Genomic DNA, 24,421 nt, shown 5'->3' with positions numbered 1-24,421 from the left:
CATCAAGCATGGGCCAAGGCAGGCTCAGATACTAAAAGCTGGGCACAGAAGCCCTTCTTGCTTTTGCCCCAGTGTGTGGAAGGCTGAGGTAGAGGGAAGCACATTGGATCTGGGAGGCAGGGACCCAGATCCAGCCAGGTTAGATCAGGGGAGGCTCCCAAGACTGGGTGGCGTCTGAGCTGAGGCTTGAAGAAGGAAGAGCGGACATAGCGTCTGCAAAAGGCACTTGGTATTTGTCCTTCCTTTATCTCCATCCTCTGGCAGGATTCCTCCAGAGGCCATGGGGCAGATGCCCACGGTGGGCATCTAATTTATAAGACCTAACAGTTGGCTCATAAGTAGTATTATGTGGAAGCAAACCCAGTGAGCACAGGCACCCCTGGGTACGGGAGAGGGAGGGTCGCCCAGCTTCTTCTCTGAACTGGGAGGCCGTGGACAGCACATGGGCTGTTGGTAAGACAAGCCTTTGTGATCTTCCCTCCCTGATACTTCCTGGCTGTGTGGCCTTGGATAAGTTGCTTGACCTCTCTGGGCTTCTGTTTTTCATCTATAACACAGCAGTATTTTTTTCCTTCCAGTGATGATAAAATGAAATATATCCAAAATCCATACGGCACCTAGTCAGGTCTCAGTGAATGTGTATTTATTCCTCTGTCTCTATCCCCAATCCCACAAATTGTCCCTGGAAGGGCTCAGAGCCTGGACATGGACGCAGGGATGAGAGGGAATTGCTGACTCTGGGGACAGAGGTCAGGGAGCGAAGGGCTCCTTGGTGTTATCCCTGAGCCTGGAGGTAGCTCAGGGAGGCCAAAGGGCCAGAACATCCTTCTAGGCTCGCCACCACCTGGTATTGCCTGTCCAGCAGGCTGGACGCAGCTGACGGTCCTGCCCTCCTCACAGAGGGTGCTGTGGTCCCCCCACTCCCAGCTGCTTCCCGTGGAGCTTCCCAGGTCAGGGCACTGCCGACCTGCTGGACCCAGCTCCATATCAGGCCAGCCCAGGCCTCCTGCTCTGGTCCCTGGGGAAAGGAGCGGGGCTGGGCTGAGGGCTCTAGGGAAGAAGTGGGCACCTGGCTGTGCCAAGGCTCACTCCCTGGGGATCTGTGGCTCACATCCTGGCCGGTCTCCATCCTCTCCCACAGGTGCCCCTGGAGGGTTCCTGGTGGCGCTCACCTGTGCCAGGGGATGTGGAGCCCTGGTTTGGGAGTCCAGAGTCCTAGGATCTCACCCTTACCGGAAGTCACTTCCCCAGGGCGATTACCACTCCCACCATCCATACCCAGAGAATCCACTGATGTGTTCATTCAACAAATATTTATTGGATGCCTCATTAGAGTCCTGAGAATACAAAAGTGAGCAAAACAGATACTGCTCTCATTGTTACTAAATAGATCATCTTGTCAATGACATCATCTTACCCTGTGAGCGGACAGAGTCGGGAGAGAATGCCAGGGGAGGGGAGGACACAGAGAGGCCTGATCTGGCACAGGATACCTAACACAGGTGAGCCCCACCAGGGAGGGCTTCTCAGAGGAGGAGTCAGACATCAGAACCAAGAGCAGGAGTGAGCCTGTGTGGGAGGCGGGGCCTTCCTCCAGGATAGGAGCCCCCAGGTGGGGAAGAACTTCAGAGTGGGGGTCAGTACTCTCCACCTGAGGTCCCAGCCACCTCAGCCCCTTGCCCTCGTCCCCGGCACTTGCTCTCTGTCCTTTCTCTCCTTGCCTCTCTCCCTTTCGGTCCTGGCCAGCAGCGGGGCCATGGAAGACAGCAGGCAGAGGGCTCAGACCCCCAGCTGCCCCCAGCACCTCGTTACCTCCTTGTTCCAGGCCAGAGGGGCTCAGTGGCCCAGGAGTTGGGCTGGGCTCTTTAAGAAGAGGAGAAAAGTTAAAGGGAGCCAGGTGTGGTGGCTCATGCCTATAATCCCAGCACTTTGGGAGGCCGAGGCTAGATGGATCACTTGAGGTCCGGAGTTCAAGACCAACCTGGGCAAAATGGTGAAACCCCGTCTCTACTAAAAATACAAAAATTAGATGGGTATGGTGGCATGTGCCTGTAGTCCCAGCTACTCGGGAGGCTAAGGCAGGAGAATTGCTTGAACCCAGGAGGCGGAGGCTGCAGTGAGCTGAGATCATGCCACTGATCTCCAGCCTGGGCGACAGAGTGAGACTCCCTCTCAAAAAAACAAAAAGAAAAGTTAAAGGGGAACCTCTGAGGGCCTAGGCCCTCAAGTCCCCCATTCTCTGCTGATGTAAGGAGGGACTGTACCTGGGTTCTGGGGTGGGGGTGAGGGCTATGGCGGCCACTGCCTGGTTCTGGAGGGGAAGGCCTGGATCAGAGATGGGGGAGGGCCCCCGAAAGGCCTGCAGGAGACAGCAGGACTGCGGCGGGGGTGAGGAGGTCTCCCCTGTTCCTAGTTCAGGGTGCCCCTCCACCCTGCTCCCCTGCAGAAAGTAACCCCGGTGCCTGTCCCCCCCAGGTCCCTGGCACCGACCCTTAGGGGCTCTTTCTATTACCTACCCTGTTCCAGGTGTTTTTTTTCCCAGGGTCAGGCCAGGGGAGGGGGCAGGAGGAGGGGCCTGAGCCACCTGTGTGCTGCCCAGGGCTGGGCACTGGAGTGAATGTGCCCCAGGTTCAGGGGGTGTGCACAATTAGGTGGTGGGTGGTCTGGCTTTGCAGCCTGGCAAGTCTTCTGCACCCTCCCATCCTCTTTCGGATCCAGGAGGGTCCATGGATGCACACTGGGAGGGAGGACAGGAGGCCAAGGGTCTTTGCTGTGTCTGATTTCTCCCCCTAGATGAGAAGCAGGAGAGGGAGGGGGTGGTTGACAGAGGAAAACCACTTGAGAGGCCTGGATCAGAGACTACCCCCAGTCTCCTGGACAGCCCTAGGCTGTCGAAAGGCAGATATCTGTCAGCCAGGCCAAAATGCTTACTTCCAGAATGACGGGCCCTGAGCCCTGGTTTCTCCATTTGTAAAATGGAGTCTCTGTCCCTACTCCACTTTCTGTGGGGCGACTGAGCCTGTAGGTGAGGAAGCCACGTGGGGAGGTATACGGGCTGACACTGCCCTCTGGTGGCCGTAGCCAGAGTTGCTGGCTGCCAGTGCGCTGACCTAGAGGGTGTGGTCAGCTGGGGGAGCTTTCAGGGTCTCCTAACTTCATCTCTGTCTTCTCCATCCCACTGCCTCTGCCTTCTTCCCCGTCAAACTCTCCAGGGGTTTCCCAGGGCTTCTTCCTCATGGGGCCAGAAACAATTTAATTCAGCAGGAGTGTAATAGGCTTCTTCTGTATGCCCTGTTCTGTGCTTGGTGGTTGGGGCTGCAGAGATGTCCAAGGCACAGAGAGACAGTCCAGGAAGCTGGGCTGTGGGAGGACCACTCGGCAGAGCCTATGGAGCTGTAGCCTCACGGAAGCCTGGGCTGTGCCGATGCCCGAACAGCCACCTCCTTATGTTCTTCAACCTCACTGTCGTAGCAAACCCTGGGGTTGTGTGTCTCCTTCAAGCTTTCTGCTGACAAAGAAACCATAGGAAACATGCAGACTTTGGGCTGGGCACAGTGGCTCACGCCTGTAATCCCAGCACTTTGGGAGACCAAGGGGGAGGCGGATCACGTGAGGTCGGGAGTTCGAGACCAGCCTAACCAACATGGAGAAACCCCGTCTCTACTAAAAAGACAAAAGTAGCCGGATGTGGTGACGCATGTTATTGGGGAGGCTGAGGCAGAGGCAGGAGAATTGCTTGAACACGGGAGGTGGAGGATGTGGTGAGCCGAGATCGTGCCATTGCACTCCAGCCTGGGGCAACAAGAGCGAAACTCCGTCTCAAAAAAAGAAAAAAAAAAGAAAGAAAGAAAGAAAGAAAATAAAACATGCAGACTTTGAACAAGGAGGAGAACGGTTATGTTATGAAAGTTCCTCCATTTCCAGAAGTATTCTGGGAGATAAGCTCTCTTTTCTGCACCTGTTTTCTCCTCCCTGAGGGAACATTTCCATCAGCATGTAAACATATTGTCCTCTCTCCCATCTTCAAAACACACTCCCCAGCACTCATGTCCTCCTTCAGCTCCTGTGCCCTTTTCCAGCTCTCCTTTGTTGCAGATTTCTTCAATACAGTTTTCTATACTGTCTCCCTTCCTTCCTTCCTTCCTTCCTTCCTTCCTTCCTTCCTTCCTTCCTCCCTCCCTCCCTCCCTCCCGCCTTCCTTCCTTCCTTCCGACAGGGTCTTGCTCTGTCACCCAGGCTGGAGTGCAGCCTCGACCTGTGCTCAGGTGATCCTCCCACCTCAGCCCCTGAAGTAGTACAGGTATGCACCACCATGCCCAGCTATGTTTTTTTTTTTGAGACGGAGTTTCGCTCTTGTTGCCCAGGTTGGAGTGCAATGGCGCAATCTCGGCTCACTGCAACCTCCGCCTCCCGGGTTCAAGCGATTCTCCTGAGTACCTGGGATTACAGGCACCCGTCACCATGCTCAACTAATTTTTTGTATTTTTAGTAGAGACGGGGTTTCACTATGTTGGCCAGGCTGGTATCAAAATCCTGACCTCAGGCGATCCACCCGCCTAGGCTTCCCAAAGTGCTGGGATTACAGGTGTGAGTCACTGCGCCCGGCCAATTCTTGTATTTTTTTGTAGCGAAAGGGTTTTGCCATGTTGCCCAGGTTGGCCTCAAATTCCTGGGCTCAAGCAATTCACCCTCCTAAGCCTCCCAAAGTGCTGGGATTATAGGTGTGAGCCACAGCGCCTAGCCTTCTTTCTGTTTTCATTTTGTTACCTCTCGTTATTTCCTCACTCCTCTTTGGTCTCTCTCACCCCCTCTACCAAGACCGCTCTTTTTTTTTTTTTTTTTTTTTTTGAGACAAGTCTTGCTCTGTTGCCCAGGCTGGAGTGCAGTGGTGCAATCTCGGCTCACTGAAACTTCTGCCTCCTGGGTTCAAGCAATTCCCCTGCCTCAGCCTTCCAAGTAGCTGGGCTTACAGGCTTGTTCCACCACACCGAGCTAATTTTTGTATTTTAGTAGAGATGGGGTTTCACTATGTTGGCTGGGTTGGTCTCAAACTCCTGACCTCAGGTGATCCACCTGCCTTGGCTTCCCAGAGTGCTAGGATTACAGGTGTGAGCCACTGTGCCTGGCCCCGCAAGACCGCTCTTGCCGAGGCCATGACCCCAGCTCACCAAGGTTGCCCATGACCCCAGTTTGCCAAGCTGAGTCTCTGTCCTCAGTCTTTGCCTGGCCCAACAGCACCACCCAACACAGGTGGCCACTCTCTACATGAAACATTTTCTTTACTTTCTAGGACCCAACTTTCCTGGTTTTCCTCTACTTCACTGCCCCACTCATCCCAGTCTTCCTTTGATGCCTCCTCTTCTTCTTTCTGCCCTCTGAATCCTAGGGGGTTAGTCCTGGGCGCTCTTACCTGTCTTCTCTCAGTCTCTTGGGGATCTCACCAGTCTCATAGCTTTAAATGGTCATCAAAGAACAATGACTCCTACATTTAAATCTCCAGCCCGGTCTCTCCCCTACATTCAGATTTATACATCTAATTGTCTACCCAACATTTCCAGTAGGATACTTAAAAAAAAAGTATTCTATTTATTTATTTATTTTGAGGGGTAGGCTCGCTCTGTAGCCCCAGCTGGAGTGCATTGGCACAATTTCGGTTCACTGCAACCTCTACCTTCCAGGTTCAAGCAATTCTCCTGCCTCAGCCTCTTGAGTAGCTGGGACTACAGGCACACGCCACCATGCTTGGCTAATTTTTGTATTTTTAGTAGAGACAGGGTTTCACCAGGTGGCCAGGCTTGTCTGGAACTCCTGACCTCAGGTGATTCGCCTGCCCCGGCCTCCCAAAGTGCTGGGATTACAGGCGTGAGCCACTGCGCCCGGCTACAGGGAGACTTTTAAGAGGCGTCTCCCAAGGAGAACAGGGGTTCGCCAGCATGGCAAGAGGAGGGCAAAGCGAACTAGGGTTGGAGGTGAAGAACAGTTAATCCAATCAAATGGAAGACGTCGAGTGGCGCGAGCACTGGGGTGTGAGCGCGAGGGTCAGGGTTGCAGCGCCAGGCAGGGTTGCAGCGCCAGGCAGGGTTGCAGCGCCAGGCAGGGTTGCAGCGCCAGGCAGGGTTGCAGCACGTTGGAAGCGCACTGGAGTTTGGAATGTCTCTCCCAGTCAACCGGGAAAGACGCAGCGCTGCCCTAATGCACTGGCCACCCCAGACCGTATGCACAACGTTGGGTTGGCAGCTTCTACACCAGGGAAGGCACCCGAAACCCCGGCGCGGCAGCTGGGGAGGGGCTGCCCCCAGCCAGGGACCCGCGAGTGCTGGGGCAGCCGCGGCTTTGGGCAGAACCATTCTCCGGAGATGGAGAGGGCAGAAAAAATCTTTCGCTCCCATCCCAACTCGGAGCCATCCGGAACTTGCACTCGCCCTTCTTGCCCTGCTTTTCTTACTGTGCTCTGTTCCGTCACCACTAGCTCCCCTCCCGCGCGGCTCTGAGTCCCGCTTGCCACTAGTTGCTTCTCGGCAGCCCCCACCCCTACGCGTGGTCCGGCCCGGCGGCTGGCGCAGGTTATAAAGGTCCCGCCGCAGCAGCGGACGGCAGACTCGAGATGCGCCCGAAGAGGTTGGGCCGGTGCTGCGCGGGGAGCCGGCTCGGACCCGGGGACCCAGCAGCACTCACCTGTGCACCTTCGCCCTCAGCCAGTCCCGCTCCGGAGCCCTCTGCGCAGCCGCAGGCACGGGGCACTGGACAGAGAGTAGGATCCCGAGCCACCTCTGGATCCCAGTTCCTCTCGGAAGCCCGCACCGGAGCTCGCCCGGCCTCGGAGGCTGGAGCCAAGGCAGGAGCCCGGCGCCCGTCCGCATTCTCGGCCATCCAAGGGGATGTCCGGTCTATGCCCGACAATTCGGACGCGCCGTGGACCCGCTTCGTATTCCAAGGGCCGTTTGGTTCCCGGGCCACTGGCCGGGGGACTGGAAAGGCAGCGGGCATCTGGAAGACGCCAGCCGCCTACGTTGGCCGGCGACCCGGGGTGTCCGGCCCTGAGCGCGCCGCCTTTATTCGGGAGCTGGAGGAAGGTAAATCGGGCCCCCGGGGTCCTGGACCGGGTGGGGACTGGGGCAACTCCAGGGAGGAAGTGGCCCCATCGGGTCCAGGCACCCCGCCCCCTCTAGCACTCAGTGTCACCCGTCCACCACCCCCGCGATGTCACTGCGGTGTCTGTCTGGTCGCCCCTTCTCCATCTCCTCCTCTGCTCTTGTCCCCTGGTTTGTGCCCGTGAGTCAGGTTCTGGGGCCTGCACGCTCGCCCACCCACCTCCACGCGCCTCTTGCTGCGGCAGATCTGCACCCCTTCAGCGCCCCTCTCCTGGGTCTACCGCAGTGCCAGGAGAGGGGCGGGGGGCTGCGGGAGGGCGCTGTCCCGCGCGCTCTGAGTCTGCGCTGGCCGACCGGGCTTGCGTGCGATGGAGGGGTGGGTGGGCGGGCGGAGGGGGAAGTTTTGCCCACTTTTTGGTTGCGGGTATGGGGGCAAAGTCGCGCTCTTTTCCTGCCCCTTGTCTCTCCTATCCTCCTGCGGGTCGGGGGAGATCTCTGGATTGGGCCTAGAGGCTCGAGTGTCTCCTAATCTGGTGAAGTCTTCCTCCTGTCCTCTGCACACGCAACAGGTGCAGGGTGAGTGGCTGCGTCTGTTTGTATGACCCAGGAGACTCCATTGCACTGCCTCCTGGGTAGGGGGTGATGAGCCAGTCTGAGGCTGTACTTCCCCTGGCTGTCTCCATTCTAGGCGCCAGGGACCCAGGTGTCCGGAGAGCCCAGTTTCTGAGCCTGGAGGACTGTGACCCCCTTACCTCAGGCTCCTCCAGGGGTAAAAAAAAAAAAAAAAAAAAAAAAGCCGGGCGCGGTGGCTGACGCCTGTAATCCCAGCCAGCACTTTGGCAGGCCGAGGCGGGCGGATCACTAGGTCAGGAGTTCGAGACCAGCCTGGCCAACATGGTGAAACCCCGTCTCTACTAAAAATACAAAAATAAGCTGGGCGTGGTGGCGGGCGTGTATAACCCCAGCTACTCGGGAGGTTGAGGCAGGAGAATTGCTTGAATCTGGGAGGCAGACGTTGCAGTGAGCTGAGATCTCGCCATCGCACTCCAGCCTGGAGGACAAGAGCAAGGCTTTGTCTAAAAAAAAAAAAAAACCAAAAAAAAAAAAAACCAAAAAAAACCCAAAAACCTAAAAACCCTGTCCACTTGGCCCTGGGAGCAGGGAAGGGAGTGTTGAGTGCCGAGGGGTAAGGGGAGGATGTGGGGGGCAGGAGGGGAGCCCAGTCTTCTCTCCCGATGACCCTTGTTGGAGAACTGACGATAGGACGGGAAACAGCTGTTTGCTGGTAGCATCTGCTCCTTTTTCCTGACCTGGCTGGGCCTTTTCTCCCCACCTGCCGCCTCCTGCAGCACTGTGTCCTAACCTACCTCCGCCAGTCAAAAAGATCACCCAGGAAGACGTCAAAGTGATGTTATATTTGCTGGAGGAGGTGTGTACTGCCTTCCTGATCCAGGCAAGCCCTTATTCTAGTTTTGTCCTGTAGGGGTGGGGGTCTTGTTTATTTCCTGATTGGCAGTCTCTCTGGGGCCCCAGGTTAGGGTCCTTCTTATGGAAGACAGGTCGATGTGGGATGTTCAGGCTGGAAGAGCTCTCAGAGCCAATCTGGTCTGATCTTCTTTTTCCATGAGGGGAAACTGAGCCAGGTTCCACAGTGGGTTAATGGCAGACTCTGGTCTGGTACCCTAGAGAACTAGGGGATGGGGAAGGTTCTCTTAGGGGCCTAGCCTCTCTCTGACCCCTGTGTCCCCCCCAGCTTCTCCCACCTGTCTGGGAGAGCGTTACCTATGGGATGGTCCTGCAGAGAGAGAGGGACCTGAACACTGCAGCTCGCATCGGCCAGTCCCTGGTGAAACAGAACAGTGTTTTGATGGAGGAGAACAGCAAGCTGGAAGCCCTGCTGGGCTCAGCCAAGGAGGAGGTAACCGGGTGGGGAGGAGAGGATAGCGGGCCAATCTACACCTGCCTCATGCCAGGACCCTCTCCTGTCCCTGCCCACTCCCAACCCATGGCTCCTCTCTCTTCCTGCCAGATTTTATACCTCAGACACCAGGTGAACTTGCGGGATGAGCTCCTCCAGCTCTACTCAGATTCTGATGAGGAGGATGAGGATGAAGAAGAGGAGGAGGAAGAAAAGGAGGCAGAAGAGGAACAGGAAGAAGAAGAAGCAGAGGAAGACCTGCAGTGTGCTCATCCCTGTGATGCCCCTAAGCTGTGAGTTCCTGCCTTTGCACCTGCAAGTCCTTTCTCTGAGCCTCAATTTCCTCATTTGTTAAGAGGGACACAGGTGATGTGCTTGCTGGCAGGGTTGCTGGAACTAATTGAGAACACTGCCCTTAGCCCTGGTGGGCTGGGAACTGGGAAGCCCCACTCCCTGCACCCTGACTCCCATTCCTCCCTCCCCTAGGATTTCGCAGGAGGCATTGCTGCACCAGCACCACTGCCCACAGCTGGAAGCCTTGCAGGAGAAGCTGAGGCTGCTGGAGGAGGAGAATCATCAGCTGAGAGAAGAGGTGAGAATGGGGGAGGAGGGCGTCCCTGCTAGCAGGGGGTGTTGACTTCCCTGTCCCTTCCTCTTTGTCTCCCTCCAGGCCTCTCAACTCGACACTCTTGAGGATGAGGAACAGATGCTCATTCTGGAGTGTGTGGAGCAGTTTTGTACGTAATGTTGTCACTCGGGGTGGGGGGTTGTCCCAAGGAGCAGAGAAAAGAACTCAAGATGTGGAGTATGGAGATCCAAGTTCAAGTCCCAGATCTGGCACTCCTAGCTGTGTGAACTTGGATACATTCCTTGACCTCTCTGAACCTTTGTCTTTAGAATGGGGATTAATTTTCTCAGCCCCACTGATCTCTCCAGGGTTTATGAAGATTAAGAGTGTCAACAGCTGAGGAAGTACTTTGTGCAAACTATAAAGAGCTATACAGAAATTGTGGGTCTCAGGCCAGGCACGGTGGCTCATGCCTGTAATCCCAACAGTTTGGGAGGCTGAGGCCGGCGGATCACCTGAGGTCAGGAGTTTGAGACCAGCCTAACCAACTTAGAGAAACCCTATCTCTACTAAAAATACAAAAATTAGCCAGATGCAGTGGCACAAGCCTGTAGTCCCAGCTCCTTGGGAGGCTGAGGTGGGAGAATTGCTTGAACCTGGGAGACAGAGTTTGCAGTGAGCCTAGATCACGCCACTGCACCCCAGCCTGGGCGACAGAGCAAGACTCCATCTCAAAAAAAAAAAAAGGTGGGTCTCCTCCAAGCCTGTCTTCTCTTATTTGGGGCAGGCAAGAGGGAGCCATGAGCTGCCAGAGACCAGGCACCCAGGGCTGGGACAGTTCAGAGTCATGCACGGGGCAGTGGCTGTGCCTGGCATCGTCCTAGGCACTGTGTGTTTATGAAGATGAGTGAGGAGCAGTGTTTGTGCCTGAGGAGTTCAAGTGTAGCTGGTGAGATGCAAACGCAAAGTGGCAACAGCTGAACTCCTGCTGTTCCCTTTACCCCAGAACTGACCTTCCTTCCTGCTGGGTTCTGCAACTCCCTGAATGGCCCCACTGGTCCCCAGGCTACTGGAGTAGGAACCAGTCCCCAAGCTCTGTTGCTTTTACCTCCTAGGAATGGCTTAAGTCTTTTTCCCCCTCCCCACTCGGGCTGCCTCTAGCCCAAGATACCTCTTAACTGGTCGCACTGCCTCTACTCGCGCCCTACCAGGAACTTCTGCACACAGCCTTAATGAGTTTTCTAAAACCAAACCTGGCCAGGTGCAGGGGCTCCCACCTGTGGTCCCAGCTACTCAGGAGGCTGAGGTGGGAGGATTGCTTGAGCCTGTGAATTCTGGGCTGTAGTACACTATGCCGACAGGGTCAGTATGGTCCAGGGAGTGGAGTACCACTGGGTTGCCTGAGGAGGGGTGAACTGGCTCAGGTCAGAAACAGAGCAGGTCAAAACTCCCATGCTGATCAGTAATAGGATCGCACCTATGAATAGCCACTGTACTCCAGCCCCAGCCTGGGAACCTGGCAAGACCTCATTTTTTCTTTCTTTCTTTCTTTTCTTTTCTTTTCTTTTCTTTTCTTTTCTTTTCTTTCTTTTCTTTCTTTTCTTCCTTCTCTCTCTCTCTCTCTCTCTCTTTCTTTCTTTTTTTTTTTGAGATGGAGTACAGTGTTGCAGTCTTGGCTCACTGCAACCCCTGCCTCCTGGGTTCAAGTGATTCTCCTGCCTCAGCTTCCTGAGTAGCTGGGACTACTGGTGTGTGCCATCACGCCTGGCAAATTTTTTTTTTTTTTTTTTTTTGACGGAGTCTCACTGTCGCCCAGCTAGAGCAATGTCATGATCTCAGCTCACTGCAACCTCCGCCTCCCAGGTTCAAGTGATTCTCCTGCCTCAGCCTCCTGAGTAGCTGGGATTACAGGCCTGTGCTACCGTGCCCAGCTAATTTTTGTATTTTTAGTAGAGATGGGGTTTCACCATGTTGGCCAGGTTGGTCTTGAATTCCTGACCTCAAGTGATCCTCCCGCCTTGGCCTCCCGCAGTGCTAGGATTACAGGTGTGAGCCACCACGCCCGGCCAAGACCGCATTTCCTTTTTTTTTTTTTTTTTTTTTTTTTTTTTTGAGAAGGAGGCTCCCTCTGTAACCCAGGCTGGAGTGCAGTGGTGTGGTCTTTGCTCACTGCAACCTCCACCTCCCGAGTTTAAGCGATTCTCCTGCCTCAGCCTCCCGAGTAGCTGGGATTACAGGCATGCGCCACCATGCACAGCTAATTTTGGTATTTTTAGTAGAGATGGGGTTTCACCATGTTGGGCAAGCTGGTGTTGAAATCCTGACCTCAAGCGATCCATCCCCCTCAGCCTCCCAAAGCGCTGAGATTACAGGCATGAGCCACTGTGCCTGTCCCAAGACCTCATTTCTTAAAAAACAAGTAGCCGGGTGCAGTGGCTCACCCCTGTAATCCCAGCACTTTGGGAGGCAGAGGCAGGTGGATCTCTTGAGGTCAGGAGTTTGAGACCAGCCTGGCCAACATGGTGAAACCCCGTCTCTACTAAAAATACAAAAATTAACTGGGCGTGGTGGCGCATGCCTGTAATCCCAAGTACTCGGGAGGCTGAGGCAGGAAAATCGCTTGGACTCGGGCGGCAGTTACAGTGAGCCAAGATTGCACTATTGCACTCCTGCCTGGACGACAGAGATTCGGTCTCAAATAAATAAATAAATAAACCAACAAACCCAAGTCTGACCACGTCATTACTGTGCCTAAAACTCCCAAATAGCTTTCCATTGGCCAAAGGATAAACCCCACCCCCTTGCCCACTACTGTGGTCTGGCCTGTGTGCACTGTTCTGGGCCCTCCCCGTCCCAGTGTCTTATGATGGCCTCTGGGCCTTTCCAGTCAGCTTGGACCCATGTTTTTCCTTCTTTGCCTGGGTGAGCTTCACTTGCCCTGTGGTCTTAGCTTAGTGGTTCCTTTTTCCAGGAATCCTTCCTTACCTTGCAGGTCGGGTTGGGTGCTGTAGCTGTGATGCCCCTGCCCTGTACACCCTTGACATTTGCCCATCATGGCCTGTATGATGTGTGACTGTGGTCTGTCTCCCCACCAACTTTACCTCAGTGTGGCGGCTGGGTCTTACTGACCACTCACCCTGGTGCCCTGCTCAGTATCAGTCAATGAACATTTCTTGAATGGAAGACCTGAGTGAGGAATGCAAAGCCCTGCAGGACCCACTGGCACAGCGCAGCAGCCGAGGGTGGGGGAGACAGAGGCATCTGGGAGGGCCAGAGCTGGTCCCTGAAGGCCAGGGGAGCCAGGGCTGACCTGTCCTCTGCCCTCCCCAGCGGAGGCCAGCCAACAGATGGCTGAGCTGTCGGAGGTGCTGGTGCTCAGGCTGGAAAACTATGAACGGCAGCAGCAGGAGGTCGCTCGGCTGCAGGCCCAGGTGCTGAAGCTGCAGCAGCGCTGCCGGATGGTGAGTCGGGTGTGTGTGGAACCCTCTTGTCGTGGCCCCATGGGACCCTAGCTTCCTTCTTCCTGCCTCCACTCGGCTCCACCAGGCCTGAGGTCCCTTTCTGTGTCAGAGTCAGAGACCTCAGAGAGCCCCTTATCTTGACCCCTTGTTATCTTGAGGAGACCAAGGCCCAGAGAGGGTCCTGGAGTCTTCTAGGAACCAGGCTGCGTGACTCCCCTGCCTTCTTTGCCCTCCTTCCGTGTGACTTGTCATTTCATGGGCTGCCAAGGACTCACTGATGTGCCTGGGAAGACTTGCTGGAAGCAGGGGGTGCCCTGAGTGGGTAGGCCTCAGATGGGGGTTCACTGGTTTTGGGTCCTTCCAGTATGGGGCTGAGACTGAAAAGTTGCAGAAGCAGCTGGCTTCGGAGAAGGAAATCCAGATGCAGCTCCAGGAAGAGGTGAGTCTCGCTGCCGGCTTCTGCCCCCACCCTGGAGAGCCGCTGGCCCAGAGTGGGGACCCCAGGCCCTTGGCAGCTACCTGACTCTGGAGAGGACTAGCAGGAACTGAGTCTTGTCCGTTTCCACCCCCTCCATGCCTGGCACAGCCCAGCAGGTGACAGTTCCATCAAGGTCTGAGTGGTGTGGAGTGCAGGGACCTGCCCTGGGTCCCCCACATGACACTTGGAGTCCAGAACCTGGGCCTCTGGCCTCAGCCTGAGAGCAGATAGGCAGGAGTGCTGGACTGGGTGTGCCTGGGTCCCAGCAGAGCGTGTGGGTGGGTTCCCAGCTGCAGGACCTGCGGGAGAAGTACATGGATTGTGGGGGCATGCTGATTGAGATGCAGGAGGAGGTGAAGACCCTCCGCCAGCAACCCCCAGTGTCCACTGGGTCTGCCACCCATTACCCATACAGCGTGCCTCTGGTGAGGACCCTCCCCTGGCTGCCCACTTTCCTACGTCTGTGCCTGTGTCTCAGCCTTGGTGGCTGATTGAGATCCCAGTTCCCTTCTGTGCCTGAGCCTATGGGTGGGGGTTCTGTGGGGGTCCTCTGGTAACGTCTGTTCTCTCCACCATAGGAGACTCTTCCTGGTTTCCAGGAGACGCTGGCTGAGGAGCTCAGAACGTCTCTAAGGAGGATGATCTCAGACCCTGTGTATTTTATGGAGAGGTGCGTGGCTGGGGCCCTCCCTTGCCCCATAGGCCATGGCCTTTCCTGTAGTGGGGAGGGGGTTTGCCCTCACACTCTGACCTTCCACGCTTCCCTATACCCGCCTCGTTCACTGCATCAGCCCCTCCACTCATTGCTTCTCTATGAATATGGACCCATCACTTCCCCCTGAGGTATTTTTTTTTTTTTTGAGATGGAGTCTTGCTCTGTCACCCAAGCTGGAGTGCAATGGTATGATCTTGGCTCACTGCAACCTCTGCCTCCCAGGTTCAAGCAATTCTCCTGCTTCAGCCTTCCGAGTAGCTGGGATTACAGGCATGTGCCATCACGCCCGGCTACTTTTTGTATTTTTAGTAGAGACACAGTTTCACCCTGTTGGCCAGGCTGGTCTCAAGCTCCTGACCTCAGGTGATCTGCCCGCCTCAGCCTCCCAAAGTGCTGGGATTACAGGCGTGAGCCATCATGCCCAGCCTGAGGTTTTTTTTTTTTTTTGAGACGAGTCTCACTCTGTCACCTGGACTGGAGTGCAGTGGCGAGATCTTGGCTCACTGCAACCTCCATCTCCTGGGTTCAAGCGAGTCTCCTGCCTCAGCCTTCCAAGTAGTTGGGACTACAGGCACGAGCCTGGCTAATTTTTTTTTTGTTTTTTGAGATGGAGTCTTGTTTTGTTGTCCAGGTTGGCGTGATCTCGGCTTACTGCAACCTCCGCCTCCTGGGTTCAAGCGATTCTCCTACCTCAGCCTCCTGAGTAGCTGGGACTACAGGTGGCCATCACCACGCCCGGCTAATTTTTGTATTTTTAGTAGAGATGGGCCAGTAGAGATGTTGGCCAGGCTAGTCTTGAACTCCTGACCTTGTGATCCACCCGCCTGGGCCTCTCAAAGTGTTGGGATTATAGGCGTGAGCCACTGCACCTGGCCAAGCCCAGCTAATTTTTGTAGTTTTAGTAGAGACGGGGTTTTACCATGTTGGCTAGGCTGGTCTTGAACTCCTGACCTCAGGTGACCTGCCCACCTCGGCCTCCCAAAGTGCTGGGATTACAGGCGTGAGCCACTGCTCATGGCCACTACCTAAGGTTCTTCAGCTTGACCAAGCCCCAGGGACTGCAGTTTCGGCTTCCATTGTCTCATAATGAAGGTCCTTTTCTCTTTGAAGGAATTATGAGATGCCCAGAGGGGACACATCCAGCCTAAGGTAAGCCTGCCAGGGGCTCCCCTACAACCTGCCCTCAGCTTTCAGCAGCCAGACAGCCCACCTGCCTCTGGTTCTGCCACCCTGCAACTCCGGAGAAGGCCCTGCTATCTCGGCTGGCTGAACTGAGAACTGTTCTGGGAAGGAGCTGCCCCACTTTTCCTTCAAATCTTGCCCCCTGGGTGGCCGTCTGATTCCAGGCAGCTCTGAGTGGGGACTGAAGCTTTCTTTTCAACTGACTATGGGCTGAGAGGTGACAGGCACTGGCTTAGGAGCTGGGAACACCTGGGACTAAGGCCCAGCGTGGTCCCTTTCCTGACTGTGTGTCCTTGGGCAAGTCATTTGACCTGTCTGAGCCTGTCTAGAATGGATTTGTTCCTATGGCAAGTAGCTGTGGGGTGGGCTATGAAGGTTAAATCATGCAGGAGGGAGGCAGAAGTGGGTGTTAACCCTGTTGGTGTATTCCGTGCAGGGTCAGGGACATAAAAGAAGATGGGGCCTATGCAGTGTTGGTGACCATTCTTCCTCCCTCCCACCAGGGGGATGGGCTGGGTATTTGAAGCCTTGGAGCTGGTACCTAGCTCCCCTCTCCCCTGGCTGGGACAGAACCAGGAGGAACCATCAGGATCTGTGTGGAGACGGGTGGGGGTGGGCCTGGGGGGTTGGACTTTCCAGCCCCTCAAAAGATGTCGCTATCTCCCGCCCAGGTATGATTTTCGCTACAGTGAGGATCGAGAGCAGGTGCGGGGGTTTGAGGCTGAGGAAGGGTTGATGCTGGCAGCGGATATCATGCGGGGGGAAGATTTCACGCCTGCGGAGGAGTTCGTGCCCCAGGAGGAGCTGGGGGCTGCCAAGAAGGTGCCGGCTGAGGAAGGGGTGATGGAAGAGGCAGAGCTGGTGTCAGAGGAGACCGAGGGCTGGGAGGAGGTGGAACTGGAGCTGGATGAGGCAACGCGGATGAACGTGGTGACATCAGCCCTGGAGGCCAGCGGCTTGGGCCCTTCACACCTGGACATGAATTATGTCCTCCAGCAGCTGGCCAACTGGCAAGATGCCCATTACAGGCGGCAGCTGAGGTGGAAGATGCTCCAGAAAGGTGAGTGCCCCCACGGGGCCCTCCCTGCCGCCAGCCGGACAAGCTGCAGATCGTCGTGCCGATGAAAAGAGAGGGTGGATAAGCTCCCCGAGTGCTCACCTGCCCCAGCCTGGCTCTACCTGCTGTGCTTATTTGCATGGACTTTGCATATCATTTGCATAGACACCTCTGATCCCCTTCAGTGGGAACCGTAGTGTCAGTGCTCATTTATGTGGCATTTGCTTAGGATTCCAGATCTCCATCCACTTTTCTCCTGGGGGCTGGGCTGGGGGTTAGGGCTGGGACTGTGCCCCCACACTGCGCCTCAGCTTCCCATCTCTGCCCGCTTGCTTCCCCTGCCCCCAACCCCTGCCTCCTCTATCCCCCAGGCTCTCCAACTCTGCAGCAGTGGCAGCAGCAGTCAAAACAAACACGGGGGGCGGTGGGTGGGATGGTGGAGCAGCCCGGGGGCTGACCCAGGCTGGAGGACAGGGCCAGCCACCCTCCCACGGCCTGGGAGGAAGAGAGGCCTTCTGGGACTGCCCAGGCTATGGGGACAAAGGCCTTCACCAGCAAGGGCCACAGTTGGAACAGTCCCCTGGGTGTCAGAAGGTGGGCTAGGGCCTCCTGCAGGGTTGTGGGGTGGAACAGGGTCTCCTCTCCCCAGCCAGAAACCCCAAAGTCTGGGAGCTGCACCTTCCGAGTGCAGGCCATGTGAGCCCTGCCTCTTTAAGGAGCCGCAGGACATGAAAGATGACCTTGTGACACTCATGCACAGCAGCCATTGCACGTGCATCAGCTCCCATCAGCCTCATTCCGTGGCAGGTGATGTGTCCCCATTGGTTAGGTGAGGAGGGTGAGGCTCAGAGAGCTAAGGACACTTGTTTGGGGCCACACAGCCGGGGTAGATCTGAGCCCGTCCTCTCTACTCCTGTGCTGTAGCACCTTCACTGGCCCATCCCTCCCCTCTAGTGCTGTCCTGGTACCCGTCCCAGCCTGTCCCCATTCTCATGGCCCTTTGGTCACTGCCGGGTGGAATAGCACTGGCTTCAGCAGGCGTGTCATGTAAGCTTGTGCAGGTTATAAACTGAACCATGACCTTTATGGCGCATGCAGGGGGCAACCTGCATAATTATCAATGGCGACTTTCCGTGTCCTTCTGATACAGTTGATCAGACCCCTGCCCACCGCCCAGGCCAGGCCTGTGGTCATCAATGCCCCAGTTCACATCCACCTGCTTCTCTTCCAGGCTTTGCTGTTCCCCAGCAGCCTGCAGAGGCCCCACAGACAGCTTGAGGCCCCTCCTTCTGCTGCCTGGCCAAGCCCCACACCCGCAGACCCTCCTTCCCATCCTCTGAAATGGGACCCTGTGTCTGTCACCAGCCCACCCTCTGTGTTCATGAACCTGGGCTGGAGCTTGGGGACCCCTCCCTGCCCCTGGCTTCCTCTTCCATGTTCTGCCCTTTCCCACATGTTGGAGGCTTTTCCAACGTCTTCAGGGACAGGCGGTAGGAACCCCGGCCCTCGCTCTGCAGCTGGTGCAAAAGCTGTGGCTGCCAGGTCTGGGCCACATGGCAGCCCAGGGGGCAGGAGAAGCCCGGGAGAGGCCCACTGGCTACCAGACTCAGCCCTGAGCAGGGAACAGGGCCCAGCTTCCACCGGCAGGGAGTTGTGAGCGCCTTCCCAACAATGTGCCCCTCACCCCTTGATGCCCATGCTAATGGTAGCCACCCTGGTTCTTGTTGACTTGAGGGACCTGGCTGTCTTCCCTGTTCTTCATCCTTTCTTCTCAGTCCCTACCTACTGTTTGTAACCACAAGTGTCTCTGTGTGTGGGTGGGTGAGGGCCCCTCTGCCCAGTGGTGTGTCTCCTCTCCCTCCCTCCCTCTTCTGCCAGTGGCCTGGGGGTGTCCAGGCTCCCATCCGTGGCCCAGCCCCTCTCCCCTCTGTCTTGATCCCCCCCTCCCTGCCCCTGGCTTCCTCTTCCATGTTCTGCCCTTTCCCACACCTTTGTTCCTCAATAGCTGGGGGCTGGGACTGAGGCCTCCTGCAGGTACCTGCCCCCCTTCACACAGCACCTCTCAATCTCCTATTGCTTGTCAGCCTGTGTGCGTGTGGTGCAGGAAATAAAGGATCTATACCCTCCTGGCCCAGCCTCCAGCTGTCTCTCTAGGGAGTGTGTGTGTGCACTTGGCAGGGCGAAGTTGTAGAGAAAGGGTGGATGCTAATATTGAAGTATGTGCCGAGGACTCCTATTAAATACGCCGTTTAATCATAGCAGCAGCTCCTAGAGGGCGGTGGGTGATGTCATAAGTGTCTGTTGGATGGAGAAACTCAGGCCAGAGTAGGTTAAGTGATGCCCTCACCAGCAGATCATGGCTAGTGTGGAGCTGGGATTTGAGCTCATGCTTCCCTGATCCTTTCACCCCAGAGACTGACTCAGTGGCCTGGCTGTGAAAGATAGGATGGGAGAGAGTCACCCACTGTCTTAGGGTGAAGTCCCCAGAGCAGACCTGGAACAGGGTTTAGGAACAAGTATAGTCGCCCTCCGTATCCTCAGGCTCTGCATCCGTGGAGTCAACTAACCACAGATAGAAAATATTTGGGGGAGGCTGGGTGCAGTGGCTCATGCCTGTAATCCTAGCACTTTGGGAGGCCGAGGTGGGTGGATCATTTGAGGTCAGGAGTTCGAGACCAGCCTGGCCAACATGGTGAAACCCCGTCTCCACTAAAAATACAAAAATTAGCTGGGCGTGGTGGTGGGTGCCTGTAATCCCAGCTACTTGGGAGGCTGAGGCAGGAGGATCACTTGAACCCAGGAGGCAGAGGTTGCAGTGAGCGGAGATCATGCCACTGCACTCCAGTCTGGGCAACAACAGCGAGACTCCATTTGAAAACACAAGAAAATATCTGGGGGAGGCCAGGCGCGGTGGCTCATGCCTGTAATCCCAGCACTTTGGGAGGCTGAGGTGGGTGGATCACTTGAGGTCAGGAGTTCGAGACCAGCCTGGTCAACATGGTGAAACCCCGTCTCTACTAAAAATACAAAAAAAATTAGCTGGGCATGGTGGCAGCCCCTGTAATCCCAGCTACTTGGGAGGCTGAGGTGAGAGGATCACTTGAGCTTGGAAGGTTGAGGTTGCAGTGAGCTGAGGTTGCACCACTGTACTCCAACCTGGGTGACAGAGTAAGACCCTGTCTCAAAAAAAGAGAAAAGAAAATGACAGACAAACCAGACATGGGGGAAATTGCCAGCTTTGATAAAGCTTTGAAGGAAACGGAGATGCAGGAGAACACCTTGTGGACCAGAGACCACTGAGCAGGAGAAGCAGTGAAATTTCCTAAAATCTGGAGGATTCCCTGCCCCTGTTATCTTCAAGTCCCCAGTGGTGATGTGGAAGAAAAGCAACCTGCAAGGTGGATGCAAGCCACAAGCTGCTCTGTGAACCTGGGCACCTCACACAGATGCCACTGGCCTGTGGGTCTCTGAGGGGACCCGCAAATGGGACTGCCAAATTCTCTGGTTTGCTCCAGGATATTATAGAAAATTATTTATATGAATAGTAAAAATAAAACACACTTTGTGGCCCCCCTGCCAAAAGAATATCATTGAGAAGATTATTGCTGTGGCTAACCGGGTCTCAGTCCTGCTGGGAACTCTGGGGGACAGTAGAATATATCTCAGAGTAGCCTGGGTGAGGTGGCTCACACCTGTAATCCCAGCACATTGGGAGGGCGAGGCAGGTGGATCACCTGAGGTCAGGAGTTCGAGACCAGCCTGACCAATGGAGAAACCCCGTCTCCACTAAAGATACAAAATTAACTGGGCATGGTGGCACACATGCCTGTAATCCCAGCTACTCGGGAGGCTGAGACAGGAGAATCGCTTGAATCCAGGAGGTGGAGGTTGCGGTGAGCTGAGATTGCACCATTACACCCCAGCCTGGGCAATAAGAGTGAAACTCCGTCTCAAGGAAAAAAAAAAAAAAGAATATATCTCAGAGTTATCCCACCCCTTGGGTGGGGGAGCTGGGGTATTTATCCTCTAACTGTCATCTGACACTGTCTGAGAGATGCTTCTGGAGGCATTTAACTGCCCTGCACTTGGCCCTGAAGGAAATTAGAATGTGTTACCTCCAAATATGCCACTTTGGCATAAGGACTATTTTGAGCTGAAGGCAATTGAGAAGAAGCAGATACAAGAAAAGCTCCCTACCCTCCTATTTGCATAAAAACAGGACATACATTTTCAACTGTGTCCATCTACCAGGAAGGATAAAAGTTAAATCTCTGGGCTGGGCACGGTGGCTCATGCCTGTAATCCTAACACTTTGGGAGGCCGAGGTGGGTGGATCACCTGAGGTCAGGAGTTCAAGACCAGCCTGAGCAACATGGAGAAACCCTGTCTCTACTGAAAATACAAAATTAGCCAGGTGTGGTGGCACATGCCTGTAATCCCAGCTACTTGGGAGGCTGAGGCAAAAGAATTGCTTGCACCTGGGAGGCGGAGGTTGCAGTGAGCCGAGATTGCCCCATTGCACTCCAGCCTGGGCAACAACAGCGAAACTCTGTGTCAAAAATAAATAAATAAATAAATAAAGCTGGGCGCGGTGGCTCATGCCTGTAATCCCAGCACTTTGGGAGGCCAAGGTGGGTGGATCATGAGGTCAGGAGATCGAGACCATCCTGGCTAACACGGTGAAACCCCGCCTCTACTAAAAATACAAAAAATTAGCCAGGCGTGGTGGTGGGCGCCTGTAATCCCAGCTACTTGGGACGCTGAGGCAGGAGAATGGCATGAACCCGGGAGGCAGAGCTTGTAGTGAGCCAAGATCGTGCCACTGCACTCCAGCCTGGGCAACAGAGTGAGACTCTGTCTCAAAAAAAAAAAAAAAAAGTTAAATATCTGGAGACAACTTTATTTTTTATTATTTTTTTGGTTTCCATAATTTGGACTTATTTTATTGATACTCATTAGTGAATAAAATGTTGATTTTTGATGCATTACAATACACTTTTTGGTAGTGGTTGCACAATGTTGATCATTTATTTGTTTACTAAATACTGCAATCTCCAAATTGCCTTTTTTTTTTTTGAGACAGAGTCTCGCCCTGTCTCCCAGGCTGGAGTGCAATGGCGTGATCTCAGCTCACTGCAACCTCTGCCTCCTGGGCTCAAGCAATTCTCCTGTCTCAGCCTCCTGAGTAGCTGGGATTACAGATGCATAACACCATGCCCAGCTAATTTTTGTATTTTTAGTAGAGACAGTGTTTCACCGTATTGGTCAGGCTGGTCTCGAACTCCTGACCTCAGGTGATCCGCCTGCCTTGGCTTCCCAAAGTGCTGGGATGACAGACGTGAGCCACTGCGGCTGGCCAAATTGCCAATTTTTACATGGTATTTCTGGCAATGATGGTGGCTCGTCTCTCTGAATACATAAAATGGTCCATTCAATCCATGGTTTTCATATTCCTTTGTTATTCTATCTACTGCTTTAAAATACATTCAGGCTGAGTGCAGCGGCTCACACCTAGAGAATCCCAGCACTTTGGGAGGCTGAGGCGGGTGGATCACGGGGTCAGGAGTTCAGGACCAGCCTAGACAACATGGTGAAACCCCACCTCTACTAAAAAGTACAAAAATTAGCCTGGCATGGTGGTGCCTGCCTATAATCCCAGCTACTTGAGAGGCTGAGGCAGGAGAATCGCTTGAACCTGGGAGGTGGAGGTTGCAGTGAGCTGAGATGGCACTACTGCAATCCAGCCTGGGTGACAGAGCAAGACTCTGTCTCAAAAAAATAAAATACATTCAAATAAAAAAATATAAGTTACTTGCAACAAGTGCACACTTAGAACAGCGAGGAGAGCTGAGAACATAATTAACCAGTACTCTTGTGTTCAGAGCATAAATAGTCTGAAACCGTGGGACTGAAGCTTGCTCCTCATAGACTTTCTCCAAGTATCCTTGGTGGACGTAAGGTTACCCTCACTCAACGGAAGGACACATCTGCTGCTGTGGTGGGAGGACACAGAATGACAATTTCATTTACGTAGGACGTTTTCCTTCCATAATGTCTGGAACAAGTCGGAGACAACTTTAGACCCCTTTCAGCCTGGAGTGGCACCAGTGCAATCTAATAACAAACTTGACTCACTAGCCTTTATCTACCATTCGTTTTCCATATAGCTGCTTTCCCATGCACAGTTAGCCACCCTTGGAAGTCTAACCTAGGCTGGAGCTTGGGGGCCTGGACCTCAGCCCTCTTCTGGGACAGGCGGTAGGAACCCCAGCCCTTGTTCTGCAGCTGGCACAAGAGCTGTGACTGCCGGATGTGGGTCACATGGCAGCCCAGGGGGGCAGGAGAAGCCGGGGGAGGCCCACTGGCTACCAGACCCAGCCCTGAGAGGGGACAGGGCTCAGCTCCCACGGGCAGAAAGCTGTTTCCCACACACAGTTAGCCACCCTTGGAAGTCTAAAAATTGCTGTCCTTTATCTTGCCTACAAATGTATTGTTCTTTGTTGAAGATGCTCTGTGAGCCTGAATTCTCCCATCTGAGTACTAACCAGGCCCCACCGTGCTTAGTTTCCAAGATCAGACAAGATCGGGCGCGTTCAGGGTGGTATGGCCGTAGACAGTGTGAGCCTGAATTCTAAGCTACCTCTCTGAGTTACTCAACTCTGGGTACTCTGTGTGTTAAATGTGTGATACACATGTTAATAAACTTGTTTGCTTTTCTCTTGTAATCTGTCTTTTATAACAGAGCCCCAGCCGAGGACCTAAGATGGGTAGAGAAAACACTTTCCCTCCTCTACAGCCCTCAGGTGGCGGGTAGCTCAAGGTAATGGTGTCAACAGGCACAAGAACAATGATGGAATGGAGTGAGACACCAGCAATGCCTGCACCAGCCACTCATGAGCAATTATTTACAAATATTTATTGGGTTCCTCCTATTCTTGCCACCGGGGATACAGAAGGGAGGAGGGACTTGTCACGCTCCCAGTTTCCTGTTTTGCCCGAGAGGCAGACAATAAACTGGCAAACAAAACAACTACAGATTGTGAAATGTGTTCTAAAGAAAATATTCTGCTATTGTGAGACAAAGCAACAAACATTAAGAAGCTGTGTTTGCTCCTTTCTGCTTGTCGGCACAGTTTCACAAAGCACCTGACTCTGTGACTAGAGACAGACGTGCAGCCCTCCGGAAAGATGCTTTGAAGACAGCACAGGAGAGAGCCTGAGGCCCTCCCATGTCTCTTGGCTGAGTCACTACTTTTCTTTTCTTCTTCTTTTTTTTTTTTCTTTGAAAGAGAGTCTTGTTCTGTTGCCCAGGCTGGAGTGTCATGGCGCAATCTTGGCTCACTGCAACCTCTGCCTCCCGGGTTCAAGCAATTCTCCTGCCTCAGCCTCCCGAGTAGCCAGGACTACAGGCACATGCCTGGCTAAATTTTGTATTTTTAGTAGAGACGGGGTTTCACCTTGTTGGCCAGGCTGGTCTCGAGCACCTGACCTAAAGTGATCCACCCTCCTCGGCCTCCCAAAGTGCTGGGATTACAGATGTGAGCCACTGCGCCCGGCTTGAGTCTTCACGTTTCTTAAAAGAGAAATAATCCTAGTCCCTGGCTTTTCTGACACAGAACATTTCCAAGATGACATCTGACGAGGTTAGTGATGATGCCTCTGTGATCTAGGACCCAAATCTTGCTGTGATTCTGCTGTCATGTAATTCTGAGCAAGTCTGATGGGATTTTGCACATACGGAACCTCCACCTTTAGCCCCCAGATGTATATAAGCAATGGGCTGAAACATTGTGCCAGAGCCTGCTCCTGGGCTGGAGGCCTCAATCTATAGTCCTCTGTAAGACTTCTGAATACAACTAGCATTCATTCTTTAAAAAGCTTAATTTTTTCTCTTTTATTTGACCCTGTGGTAGAGAATAACTGGGTCTATGTGTGAAGGGTGAGGAGCAGA

The 24,421-nt window shown here is 54.3% G+C and overlaps 1 protein-coding gene and 2 pseudogenes across 7 annotated transcripts, besides 3 other annotated features; 2 read left to right on the top strand and 1 right to left on the bottom strand.

Annotated features, from left to right (window-relative positions):
• On the top strand, positions 6,593-23,500 carry HAP1 (huntingtin associated protein 1). 7 transcript variants are annotated; one of them, NM_001367460.1, is made up of 12 exons: positions 6,596-7,073; positions 8,441-8,520; positions 8,845-9,009; positions 9,121-9,302; positions 9,496-9,601; positions 9,680-9,746; positions 12,908-13,038; positions 13,807-13,941; positions 14,095-14,186; positions 15,342-15,380; positions 16,085-16,473; positions 23,213-23,500. In NM_001367460.1, exons 1-12 carry the CDS (start codon positions 6,605-6,607, stop codon positions 23,230-23,232), a joined length of 1,875 nt encoding a protein of 624 aa, NP_001354389.1. In that variant the 5' UTR covers positions 6,596-6,604; the 3' UTR covers positions 23,233-23,500. The 7 variants fall into 7 exon arrangements, with proteins under 7 accessions (NP_001073340.1, NP_001073339.1, NP_001354389.1 ...); NM_001367459.1 differs by lacking the exon at positions 13,807-13,941 and adding an exon at positions 13,307-13,477; NM_001367461.1 differs by lacking the exon at positions 13,807-13,941.
• Positions 7,165-7,707: an enhancer, noted in NCBI's record as "H3K4me1 hESC enhancer chr17:39889784-39890326 (GRCh37/hg19 assembly coordinates)". NCBI's record gives its function as "activates a minimal SCP1, AML or CMV promoter by ChIP-STARR-seq in naive H9 embryonic stem cells {active_cell/tissue: H9 hESC(naive)}" and the evidence as "EXISTENCE:reporter gene assay evidence [ECO:0000049][PMID:30033119]".
• Positions 10,834-11,112, top strand: RN7SL399P (RNA, 7SL, cytoplasmic 399, pseudogene; annotated as a pseudogene).
• Positions 15,907-16,446: an enhancer, noted in NCBI's record as "H3K27ac-H3K4me1 hESC enhancer chr17:39881045-39881584 (GRCh37/hg19 assembly coordinates)". NCBI's record gives its function as "activates a minimal SCP1, AML or CMV promoter by ChIP-STARR-seq in naive H9 embryonic stem cells {active_cell/tissue: H9 hESC(naive)}" and the evidence as "EXISTENCE:reporter gene assay evidence [ECO:0000049][PMID:30033119]".
• On the bottom strand, positions 22,996-23,085 carry RNA5SP442 (RNA, 5S ribosomal pseudogene 442; annotated as a pseudogene).
• Positions 23,488-23,782: a silencer, noted in NCBI's record as "tiled region #1334; K562 Repressive non-DNase unmatched - State 22:ReprW". NCBI's record gives its function as "represses a minimal TATA promoter and a strong SV40 promoter by Sharpr-MPRA in K562 cells {active_cell/tissue: K562}" and the evidence as "EXISTENCE:reporter gene assay evidence [ECO:0000049][PMID:27701403]".

The sequence above is a fragment of the Homo sapiens genome, chromosome 17 (genome assembly GCF_000001405.40).
Source record: "Homo sapiens chromosome 17, GRCh38.p14 Primary Assembly".
Taxonomy (NCBI): Eukaryota; Metazoa; Chordata; class Mammalia; order Primates; family Hominidae; genus Homo; species Homo sapiens.
This window is presented reverse-complemented; position numbering and strand designations above follow the sequence as displayed.